Source organism: Homo sapiens, chromosome 1, assembly GCF_000001405.40.
Source record: "Homo sapiens chromosome 1, GRCh38.p14 Primary Assembly".
Classification (NCBI taxonomy): domain Eukaryota; kingdom Metazoa; phylum Chordata; class Mammalia; order Primates; family Hominidae; genus Homo; species Homo sapiens.
The window spans coordinates 78,244,949-78,257,714 of NC_000001.11; the positions used below are offsets into that span (position 1 = coordinate 78,244,949).

The 12,766-nt window shown below is 40.8% G+C and overlaps 1 long non-coding RNA gene across 1 annotated transcript in view; it reads left to right on the plus strand.

The window, feature by feature from the left end:
• MGC27382 (uncharacterized) overlaps positions 1-12,766 on the plus strand; it is a 139,866-nt gene that overhangs the window by 15,350 nt on the left and 111,750 nt on the right. The window contains exons 2-3 of the long non-coding RNA NR_027310.2: positions 5,236-5,425; positions 6,546-6,929. This is a non-coding gene — a long non-coding RNA (uncharacterized MGC27382). The remainder of the gene's footprint in view (positions 1-5,235; positions 5,426-6,545; positions 6,930-12,766) is intronic.

The window sequence follows — 12,766 nt, forward strand, 5'->3', positions numbered from 1 at the left end:
TAGCCTTGTAGTATAGTTTGAAGTCAGGTAGTGTGATGCCTCCAGCTTTGTTCTTTTGGCTTAGGATTGACTTGGCAATGCGGGCTCTTTTTTGGTTCCATATGAACTTTAAAGTAGTTTTTTCCAATTCTGTGAAGAAAGTCATTGGTAGCTTGATGGGGATGGCATTGAATCTGTAAATTACCTTGGGCAGTATGGCCATTTTCACGATATTGATTCTTCCTACCCATGAGCATGGAATGTTCTTCCATTTGTTTGTGTCCTCTTTTATTTCCTTGAGCAGTGGTTTGTAGTTCTCCTTGAAGAGGTCCTTCACATCCCTTGTAAGTTGGATTCCTAGGTATTTTATTCTCTTTGAAGCAATTGTGAATGGGAGTTCACCCATGATTTGGCTCTCTGTTTGTCTGTTGTTGGTGTATAAGAATGCTTGTGATTTTTGTACATTGATTTTGTATCCTGAGACTTTGCTGAAGTTGCTTATCAGCTTAAGGAGATTTTGGGCTGAGACGATGGGGTTTTCTAGATAAACAATCATGTCGTCTGCAAACAGGGACAATTTGACTTCCTCTTTTCCTAATTGAATACCCTTTATTTCCTTCTCCTGTCTGATTGCCCTGGCCAGAACTTCCAACACTATGTTGAATAGGAGCGGTGAGAGAGGGCATCCCTGTCTTGTGCCAGTTTTCAAAGGGAATGCTTCCAGTTTTTGCCCATTCAGTATGATATTGGCTGTGGGTTTGTCATAGATAGCTCTTATTATTTTGAAATACGTCCCATCAATACCTAATTTATTCAGAGTTTTTAGCATGAAGGGTTGTTGAATTTTGTCAAAGGCTTTTTCTGCATCTATTGAGATAATCATGTGAGGCCAGCATCATTCTGATACCAAAGCCGGGCAGAGACACAACCAAAAAAGAGAATTTTAGACCAATATCCTTGATGAACATTGATGCAAAAATCCTCAATAAAATACTGGCAAACCGAATCCAGCAGCACATCAAAAAGCTTATCCACCATGATCAAGTGGGCTTCATCCCTGGGATGCAAGGCTGGTTCAATATACGCAAATCAATAAATGTAATCCAGCATATAAACAGAGCCAAAGACAAAAACCACATGATTATCTCAATAGATGTTTTCTATTAGTACCTAAATCTTACAGGTAAGAAAAACGAGGCACAGACTGGTTAAGAAAATTGAAGGTCACAAAAGGAGTTAGTGGCCATACTGGGAACTGAATCCAGGTCTTGCTGACTGCAATGCTCATGTACTTAACTGAGAGGCTGTTTGGACTTGCTATTAGGGGCTTCAATTGTATATTTGTACCAATTCTTTGACTTGTTCTCATTGGTTCCAGAGACCAGAGGTTTTCCTGCCTTGCAGACATTCTTCACCTTAGTGATGGAGCATGTTTTAAATAATAAAGGATGGCATACAGGATTTTATGTTCAATATCACTGTAATTGCTTCCAATAATTTAAGTGATCAGATAGACACATAATGCTTGTTAATGCAGTTAATGTTTGTTTCAAAACAATATATATTTCAAAATGATGTAGAACAGTAGTTTTCAAACTTCAGAGTATATTAAGGTAGATCTTATAAAAATTGAAAATGTTGACTGTTATGCCCAGGGATTCTTTTCTGTTTTGTTTTTTAAAAAATATTTATTTAATTTTTTTAAAAATTGATAAATAATATTGGTACATATTCATGGGGTACGTAGCAATGTTTTGATACATATAATGTACAGTGGTCACATCAGGGTACTTAGCATATCCATCATTTTAAACATTTATCATTTCTTTGTGTTGGGAGTGTTCAATATCCTTCTTCTAGCTATTTGAAACTACATAACATATTATTGTTAACTATTGTCATCCTAGTGGTGTAGAACACTAGAATGTACTTCTTTCTAGCTGAAGTTTTGTATCCTTTAACAAATTTCTCCCTATTCCCCCCTTCCCCCTACCCTTCCCAGCCTCTAGTATCCTGTTTTTCTTCTTACTTCTATGAGATCAACTTTTTCTTTGTTTCTACAGATGAGTGAGAACATGTGATGTTTAACTTTCTGTTCCTGGCTTATTTTACTTAACATAATGTCCTCCAGTTCCATCCATGTTATTGTGAGTGACAGGATTTCATCCTTTTTTATGGCTGAATAGTATTCCATTGTGTATATATACTACATTTTCTTTATCCATTCATCTGTTGTTGGACACCTAGGTTGATTCTGCATCTTAGTTATTATGAATAGTACTGCAATAAACATGGGAGTACAAATGTCTCTGTAATATATTGATTTCCTTTCCTTTGGATAAATTCCCAGTAGAGGGGTTGCTACATCATACGGTAGTTCTGTGTAGTTTTTTGAGGAACCTCTGTACTATTTTCCTAATTAGCTGTATTAGTTTACATTTCCAACAGTGTAGAAGAGTTCCCTTTTGTCTGCATCCCTGCCAGCATTTGTTATTTTTTGACTTTTTCATAATAGCCGTCCTAATTAGGGTCTCAGAGATTCTGACCCAGCTGATATAAATGTTTAACAAGACTGCTCAGGTGGTTTTGATGTCAATGTTTCCTGATCACCATTTAAGAAATGCTAACAGGTAAACATCAGGAAAAACACAGGATTAAGGAAGTCTTATATGTAGTCCCAGACAGGGGCTAACAGACTTCAGAGCTCTATTTGCATGAGAATTTGATAGGTGTCCTGAAAATATGGTAAAGAAAATTTGGAATTGTTGATTGATCCTCAAGATAAGGAGACTAAAATTCTCCAGTAAGGTGTTATGCAAGGCTGTGTGTGTGTGTGTGCATGTGTATGCTTGTGTGTGTTGATGTGAGGTATGTGTGGGGATATAAAATAGTCTCTCTTTATCTTTGGGGATCCACTTCCAAGACCCTCACCAGATGTCTAAAACTAAGGATAGTACTGAGTTCTATATATACTATGTTTTCTTCTATACATACATACCTATGATAAAGTTTAACATGTAAATTAGGTACATCAAGAGACTAACAACAATAACTAATACTAGAATAGAACAATTATAACAACATACTATATTAAGAGTTATGTGAATGTGATCTCTGTCTTTTAAAATCTTATTTTCTGTACAGGCATATTTGGAGATATAGGTTTGGTTCTAGACAATTATAATAAAACAAATATCTCAGTAAAGTGAGTTACACTTTTTTTTTTTTTTGGTTTCCCAGTGCATACAAAAGTTATGTTTACGCGACACTGTAGCTTATTGTCTAGAAAAACAACATACATATCTTAATAAAAAATAGCTTATTCTTGGCTGGGCGTGGTAGCTCATGCCTATAATCCTAGCACTTTGGGAGGCTGAGACGGGTGGATCACCTGAGGTCAGGAGTTCAAGACCAGCCTGGCCAACATGCTAAAACCCTGGCTCTACTAAAAATATGAAAATTAGCCAGGTGTGGTGGTGCACACCTGTAATCCCAGCTACTTGGGAGGCTGAGGTGAGAGAATCACTTGAACCTGGGAGGCAGAGGTTGCAGTGAGCCCAGATCACACCACTGCATTCCAGCCTGGAAGACAAGAGTGAGACTCCATCTCAAAAAAAAAAAAAAAAAAAAAAAAAAAAAAAGCTTATTCTTAAAAAGTGCTGACAGACATGAAGTGAGCACATGCTGTTGGAAAATTGGTGCCGATAGACTGCTCAACACAGGGTTGCTGCAAACCTTCAATTTGTAAAAAAAATGCAATATCTGTGAAGCAAAATAAAGTGAGGTTTGCCTATAGCCATCTGTCTTTGGATCACAGGTAACTGGAAGGTGAAACTACAGATAAGAGGGTACTACTGTACAAAAAGTATAATGATACGTATAGGGCGAGATCAAGATGCCTAACTACCTCGGTGGAACAGTAGCATAATCAGTGGGAAGAGACTTGTTGAGCAGGTTATTTAAGCTGCCATTCAAATATTTTCTGACTTTGCTGAGGGGGTTGCTTTTCTTGAGTTATTTGGAAGATAGTTCTGAAGGAAACTAAAAGAGTAAGCTACCCTTTATGGGAGATTTATTAAAAAATGGAGAGATCACGGTCACACTTAAAGGTCTGGTAAAAAGTTACAACAATGATGGAAAGAGAATCCTCCCTTCTGTTTGAGAGAGCCACAGGATCAACTCAGGAGACTGAGAGGGCAACTTTGAGAGGCTGGAGAAGGCAGTGGTGAAGGCATTCATGTTATTAGGGTGGCATCACTAGCAAGACAGGCAGCGTCAGCAGGGCTGGTGGGGAGTGGAGGGAATGACTCTTCAGTAGGAGGAAGGCTAGGCCTTGGGTTCTCAGTGATTTCTCTGGGTGGTGGCTTAGAGCCCCGTTAAACCAGGCTCTTAATAATAACTAACACTTAGTAGAGTACCTTACTATGTGCTGAGTCCTTATCTAAATTGTTTGTATTATTACTTGAATGAGAAATTGTTTTTCTAATTGATCTAGCAAGTGGCAGAGGTGGGAACTGAACCCAGACAGCTAGCTTCAGAGTCTGTGTGTGTAAGTGCTGTGCTATATGTTTTCTCCTATGTACATTAATGCCAGTTAGTGCTCCCCGTTCTGAATGTGCAGATCACATAGGTGAGATCCTGGACAGTTGCTTTTCAAGCACGTGCCATTACTAATTGGTGAGGTAAAAGTAGGGGTTCATTATAAACTTCTACCTGGAAAATGATTCTCAAAGAATATCCCTTGCCCATACCAGACCCATAGAAGCTAGTTGATACATGTTTACTTGAATGAAGAATGAAAAAATCCTGCTTATAATGGTTTGAGAATATTGTCTTTGAGTACTGTACACTAAACAACTCATTCTAATGACAACACCAGAGGCCATTCATATTCATAAGCTGAACTGCTTAATGTAGGCTGAAAAAAATAGACCTTTTTTATTTCACAGTCAGAAAAGTGACATTTTTGACAAAAATAAAAAACCCAAAACAATATTTTCTTGAAAAACAAAAAAGTCCAGATCCTGGTATTCTCCTCCTCCCCAGTTCCGGGAGGGTTTGATTTAAAAAGAAGCCCTTTACGCCCCTAACTGGGTTATTTTAATATTATATCAATAGTTTACAACGAACCATCTATACTATGCTTGTGCCCATGAAGAACTTATGTTCCATTCAGAGGAAAAAATAAGTTTGTTTACTCACTTTTCCCTGTTCTCAGAGCTTTCTAATACTGATTCATTTCTTTTTTTGCTCAAGAAAATGGATGCAAGAGTAGAAGCTGATCCTCGAGGCTTGCAAAAGTGGGGTTCTTTCTGAAAGTGAAGCCAGCAGCCAAGAGCCACCCTTCAGAAGATAGAAGGAAGAGCAGCTGCATGAGTGATGGCCACAGCAATGCATGGGTCCTGTCTGTCCACGTAGTCCTCTCCATCTGCCCGTAGCTTGCCAGGTCTCCTACCCACACTGGGGAAATTCCAGCTGCCGGCCCTCTTTGGGTTGCACCTCCCCTTTTTGCACAGGGCTCTATTGGGAAAGCAGCTGTCATGTGTCTATTTGAAAGACAAGAAACCAGTCTAGTTATAGAAAAGAGATTTAGATTACATCAGAATAACAATGCAAATCATTTGTGCAGTTCTTAGTACAGAAAACAGATTTAGGAACAAAAATTGGGAGGGTTAAAGAAAGTGGTTTTTTATTCTGTCATCAAAATTGTTTTTTAAAAACACATCTGTAGTAAGATAAATAATTGTGTGCCGACTTCATAAACAGAATGAATGACTGAATTCACACAATGTTATTTACTGTTTCAGGGCACACACACATGGTTTCCAAGTGGTTTCTTGCCACTTTGGCCTTCAACTGGCCTTGCTATTTTCCATTGAGGGGTGTCTGATTGTCTCCTCCACAGCCCTGAGTCTAAGCAAAAGCCCATGGGTTGGTTGACTGGTGTTCTTGTTGTCCTTGGAAGTGGACAGACTGGCAGATGTGGGGCTAGTGGGGAAGATTCTCGTAAACACTTTATTTGTTGTAAGAACTCCAGTTGGAATGTGGCTTCCAATCATGGGAGGAGGACTGCTTTAGAACAGGTTAGAGGGAGAGAGAGAGAGGGAGAGCGAGAGAGAGAGAGAGAGAGAGTGTGTGTGTGTGTGTGTTTGTGTGTGTGTGACATGCTTGGTGTTGCTGTTTTGTATCATTTCACCCTTTAATCTGAAATAGAAACTTATTTATTGAGATTTGTTGATTCATGTTGCTGATGATAAATGGTAATGCCACAAGTATGGGAAGAACTTCTAAGTGTGTGGTAATTCAGCCTTTTTCTTTTTTTGGACGCTCTTTCCCTCTGCACCTTGATCTTGAAAAGCCTGGCAAAGAGTTTGTTCAGAGACAAATCTTTAAAGTCTCTCCAGGCCTCAGCAATATCATGTTGTAAATAATCCTCTTACTGGTGCTAAGCTTTTCATGAAGCAGTGAAGAAAATAAGATGTAAATCCCAATCAAATGAGGCCTTGTTGCATAGTGTATCAGAAAACAGCTGAGAACTCAAACAGCAACTGCTTTTTCTTTTTCAGGAAACTTTCTATAATAATACCAATACAACCAAAGACTATTATTCTGAACAGAAAACAAGAAATACAGCTGGAGCTATTTCCTATCTACCTGATGAAGGGCACTACCAGGCGGTCACTCTGGCTCTGTCCACCGATGCCTGTGCCCACTTTGTGCGACGTAGCTTCCATGGAGACAAGAGCAATGGTAATGGAAGAAGAAAGTCTGGATGTACTCTTGCAGAAGCAGAAAGCTTCATGGAACAATATTAATCTTCTGGTCATCTCTGTGCTGGTCTAGTTGCCCATAAAGTTGTCAGATTGACTTTGGATTTAAAGCCTGAAAATGAGTCCCAAGGAAATCCGTTGACATGAGGCCCAAGGAAGACAGTTTTTGGAAGGGGCAAGGTAGGAAGGATGGTTTGGTCACTGTGAGGAAGAGGAGGGTAGAAAAGCATCAGGACATCAGAATCTTTAGGAAGTGGCTACTGATAATCAAGCAGAGCTTTCTCCCTGTGGGTCTCTATCCGTTTAGCGGCTTCTTGTGCTAAGCAACTCAGTGACTGCCCTCTGCTCCAGATGTGACCTTCAGCCTCCGCTGCTCCTTTCTGCTGGCAATGCTCAGTGTAATTTCAGCCACAGAGGAAAGGAGGTGAAGTGAACATCAGTGGGAGCCTAAAAAGTTAAACAACAGACGTGTTTTCCCAGTGTAGAGAAAAGCTTGCTTCTCCACCCCCAGGACTTTGTGCCCTGCTCACCTGGAAGGTAAGCAACAAGCTGCTGGGGCACGAGAAGCCTGTGAGTGGCTGAGAGCGATGACGAGCTCATCCCTTCCTTTAGGCACCTCACCTTCCGCGTCAACCATTTTGGTGGTTTCTTAGATTGTTTCCCTGCCTTCTATTGTCTCTTCTCATTCAGAGTTCATTCTGATGACAGCCACTAAATTAGTCATCCTCAGGAAGAGCCTGGGTCATGCCTCAAACTCTGCAGAGGCTACTGAGGGCTCACTGAATGGTGCTCAAGCCCCTCACCTGCCCCTCGAGACCTGGTATAGTCGGGCTCTGCTTCCCTTTCCCCATCTGTGCTGCTTACACTCCGTTGGACCCTTCAGGTGCATTCTCTGCCCTGCTGTGGGATTTGGGGGCTTGGCTTCTACATGCCTCACTGGGGCTTCCTCACTCTGGCTTTTCACTGGGTTTGGCCACTGACAGAGGGAGGTGGATGTCTGGATACTTATTCCTCCCCTCTCTTCCTGGCAGTCCTTGATTCTGGCAGTAACCAAGTCTTGTTTCTCTACCCAGGCCATGACTCACATCAAGCAACCCCTCTTTCACAGGGTTCTGGTAACTCCACTTCTTTTGCCCCTTCAGATCCATAGGTGGAAATAGCCACATGCTGTTGCTCATCTCTGTTGGCTTTGGCATCCCAGGGTGGATACTTTACTTTGCCCATTCCTCTTAAAGAACAGATTTATTCAATAATTTCCCTTTACTTTCTTGGGTGTGTCACCTCTTTCTTGCTGGAATCCTGTCTCCATCCTGTCCTCTCTTGTCCAAGCAAAAGAGCCACTTGCTATTCCTCGAACATAGCACTTTCTCTTCTCTGTGACTTTTCATTTCCCAGCTTTCTTCATCTAGTCCCAAGGAAACTCAGGTTTGGAGAATCCTACTCAGTAATCAGGTCCAGTAATCAGATGCTTCAATTCTCTCTGCATCTCCCACTAAATGATTGTCTAGTCTTTGTTTAAATATTTGTAAGGCAGGAATTCATTGCCTCTTAAGGCATCAGTATTTATTCATTCAGTTCGTTCAGTGAATATTGTTGTTGCCTCCTACCATGTGCCAAGTGCTATGCATGGTGTCTCTCCTCAAGAAGCTCAAAACAGTGAGGAGATGAATGTATGAATAAGCAATTTTGGGACAATGTGATATGGATTACTTTGGTGTTATTCAGAAGTGCTTTGAGAGCATAGACAGCTGAGATGGGATGGAGTGGAGTCTTGCTGTATTGCCCAGGCTCATCTGAGATGAAATGGAGTCTCACTCTGTCCCCCAGGCTGGAGTGCAGGGGCACGATCTCAGCTCACTGCAACCTCCGCCTCCCGGGTTCAAGAGATTCTCCTGCCTCAGCCTCCCAAGTATCTGGGATTACAGATGCACACCACCACACCTGGCTATTCCTTGATAGGTTTTTAAGCTCTATGAGGACAGAGTCCTTGTCTTGATTATCATGGAATCCCCTTTATTTAGCATTTTATGAGGCTGAAATCAAGGTGTCAGCCTGGCTGAATTTTTCCCTGAAGGAAAGTTTTTTTTCTGAAGGAAAAGTCCAGTTCCAAGCTCATTTTTGTTATTGGCAGAATTCAATCCTTTGCATTTGTAGTATTGAGGTCCCCATTTTTTTAGTAGTTACTGCCAGCCAGAGAAGACTCTGCCTTTAAAAGGGTCATGCAATTAGGTCAGGACCACCTGGATAATCTCCCTTTCTAAAGTTAACTCTGCCATATAAGGTGACCTAATCCTGGGGGGCAAATCCATCAAACTCCCAATCTGGGGGATTAGGTGGAGCATGTACACCAGAGGAAGAAGAGGGAAATCTTGGGGATAATCCTAGAATTCTGGTAGAAAGTGACATAAATTGAAAATAGTATACATGATATGTTGAATCAAAATAGTCACGCTTAATCAATGGTTTCAGAAATCAAGACAGTAATGATCCTTAGGGTCAAGGAGGGAGAGAAACAATAGCATACATGAAAAGTAAGTATTCAGTCAGTGGGTACACACTCATTGCCTTCCAGATGCTAAAGAGAACCTAGCCATGTCATGCTGGACTTATGGCCTACAAAACTATGCACTAATAAGTGGGATTTTTTTTTAATGTTACTTTAAGTTCTGGGATACATTTGCAGAACGTGCAGGTTTGTTACATAGGTATATATTGCCATGGTGGTTTGCTGTACTTATCATCTAGGTTTTAAGCCCCACATGCATTAGGTATTTGTCCTAATGCTCTCCCTCCCCTTGACCCCCATCCCCGACAGGCCCCGGAGTCTGATGTTCCCCTCCCTGTGTCCACATGTTCTCATTGTTCAACTCCCATAAGTTGGATTTTTTAAAGCTGCTAAATTTGTGGTAATTGTTACTCATCGATAGAAAAGTAATACAAGACCTCAAATCCTGACCAGTCTGTGGGTAGTAATCTCATAAAACAAGTTGCCTCATTATATAAACATTTTGCAGCTACTTTATTACAGAGGAGTCATCAGGAAGTTACGTTGCTTAAAACTAGGCATGTTGTAGACACTTTCATAAGATTGATTTATGGCCAAGATGACCTTTAGTCTATACCAGTTTTATCAGATTTCAAGAATAAAATGATTCCATCATAGTAGTGTTTTTTTGTTTTTCTCTAAGCTTGACTATTAGCTCAAATGTTTGTCAAGAGCTCTGCATTTACCTGGAAATATAGAAATGCTGAATTCTAGGTATTTGTCAGCCAGTGAGTTTGAAACCTGGCTTTGCTTATTAGTATATGTATGCCATGCACAAGTTACCCCCTTAAAAACCTTAAGCTTTTCATTTGTAAAATGGGCATAGTAGCTCCTACCTTGCAAGCTGTCTGTAAGGCTTGAAGATGGGGTATATGAAGTGCTACTCTACTTCTTCATATCCTCTCCTTCATCTTTTCTTGGTCCTTTATCCCTTTCTTTTTTTTAAGATGTGATTTTACAGAAAGATACTAAAAATAAACAAAGGAAAGCAAATGTTAGGAAAAGCCTTTTAGGTTTTATCATGAATTTCTTTTGTGAGTTCACTTGTCTATAAAGTTATACTTGGTACCATAACGAACACTGAGGAGAAATGTTTCCTGCCCGAAGGGGACAGACATTCTGAAGGAGACGGGATGGCTTCACATAAGCTATCTTTTTATTTTTGTGTTGGCTCAGTATTCTCTTTTTCTGATTATAAGGGTGTGGTTCCTTTAGGAAGTGGGATTGCTCTAGTGTATTTTATAAGACCAGTGAAGTAATCTTTCCACTGTGACCTATCCTTGGATGGGAGAATGGGAATGGGAGGAAGAAGTGTGGATTTTTTCAAGGTAGTGGCACATGAGCGACAGCCTTTGCTACTTGTGGTGTACGGGATGTTTCTGTAACAGAGCATATAAACACAACATTCATGACTAAGTGTTTTGTAGAATGGAAAAATCAATGACTAGACTAGAAAGGAAACCATCATTATGGACAAATACCATGGCTGGTGTCAGTTGCACAGAAGGACCATAGATCTGATGTAGGCACTGTTGAAGATGCCCAAGTTATTCAAAAGCCATTAAAAAATCAGTTTGAATTTTTCCAATTGTTTCCCGAAACACACAGATTGAAAATCCTGTGTGGTTGACTTTGGCTGCTGTTACATGAAATTTTACAAAGCTTAGGAGATCTATTTTTTTTTTCCATAAAAACCAGTGGAATTCTAATGTGACACTTGGGAATTGTGTTTGAATTCTGAATGTGTGTTTATGTCTCAATTTCCCATCAACACAGATGTTTACTTCAGAAAGACAGTCACTCTAGACATTTCCTGGACTCTCACCCAAGTTTTTCACAAGAATGTTGTATCATTATGTAAGAGAGCAGCTGCTGCTATCTTTTACACTTTTTGGAAAGTTCTTTAATTTTTTCTTCATGAGAGTTTCCACCGGGGTGGAATCATTTTGTTTTAGTGTTAGAATCTATTGTCTTTGAAGGGAAGCTAGTTAACTCCTACAAGCTGAGGGATAGGAAAGAGAGTGGATGTAGAACTGGTCTAGCTGATATTGCTAACATAGATTGCTGTCATTGTCAAATGGGAATGAACATTGAAATAATAAAATATCATTCTTATTCTACAATAGAGAGAAGAGGGTTAGCCCCTTGACAATGGAAAGGAATAAGGGAGAGAAAACAGATGAAGGAGAGTATGAAGAAGTAGAGTAGCACTTTATATACCCCATCTCCAAGCCTCACCGACAGCTTGCAAGGTAGAAGCCACTATGCCCATTTTACAAATGAAAAACTTGAGGTTTTTAAGGGAGTAACTTGTCCATGGCATACATATAATAAAAAACAAATCCAGGTTTCACGCTTACTGGTTGACAAGTACCTGGAATTCAGCATTTCTATGTTGCCAGTTTTCCAGTATCAGATGGAAATAACCATATCTAATCAGTAATAAATGAGACAAAATTATACTCCTTACTGTATAAAGCTTTCTAAACATTAAGTAAATTGAGCAAACTGAGACTCTAGTAAGCAGTCTTAAAGCATTTGACTCAATATGATTCAGAATCACAGTATAGTTTACAGATATTTTTATCTTTCTAATTTCTTCATTCTCTTTGCATCAAGTTAGAATGAGAGGAAAGGCCTTTATCTTGTGCTCAAATTAAGAGTTTGTTACAGAGAAAGTTGGTAGGCATTTTTGAGCGAGGCTTTTGGAAAGATTTGGAACAGAGCTGCGGTTCTGAGAAGAATGAAAACGGTGAGTGAATCCTGTACCGGCAACTGAGGTATCCAGGTTCTCTCATTGGGAATGACTAGGTGGCTGGCATGACCCACAGAGAGCCAGGAAAAGCAGGTTGCTCTGACAGCCCACCCAGGATCTGTAAGAGGCAAGGGGAGCTCCCATCCCCAGCCAAGGGAGGCAGTGAGTGATTGTGCTACCTGCCCAGGAAATGGGCAAATTTTCCATGGATCTGTGCAACCTGCAGATCAGGAGATACCCTCATGAGCCCACACCACCAGCACCTTGGGTTCCAAGCACAGAGCTATGCAGACCCTATTTGGCCGATCCACTGGAGATTGCCTAAGACTACTGAGTTCCTGGGAGGATGGGACAGCCGCCATCACTGTGGCTACCTGCTGCCTAAGACCACTGAGTTTTTCAGGGGAGGAGTGGCAGCCATCACTGCAGCTCCAGTTTGCCGTTTTCCCCTGCTGGTGCGGGGAGACTGAGCAGTTTGGACCCAGGAAGCATTCCCCACAGCACAGCACAGCACAGCGACTGTGGCAGATCACGGCCAGGCTGCCTGTTTAGGCCGAAGTTGGACCCATCTCTCCTCATTGAGTGGGACCTCCCTGTGGGAATTTCAGCAACTCCAGCCTAGGGGTTTACAGACAGAACTCTGATATGCCTGGGATGGAATCCCTGGGGTGAGGGGTGCCCGTGGTCTCTGTGGATCAGTGAACTTAGTCTTTTCCC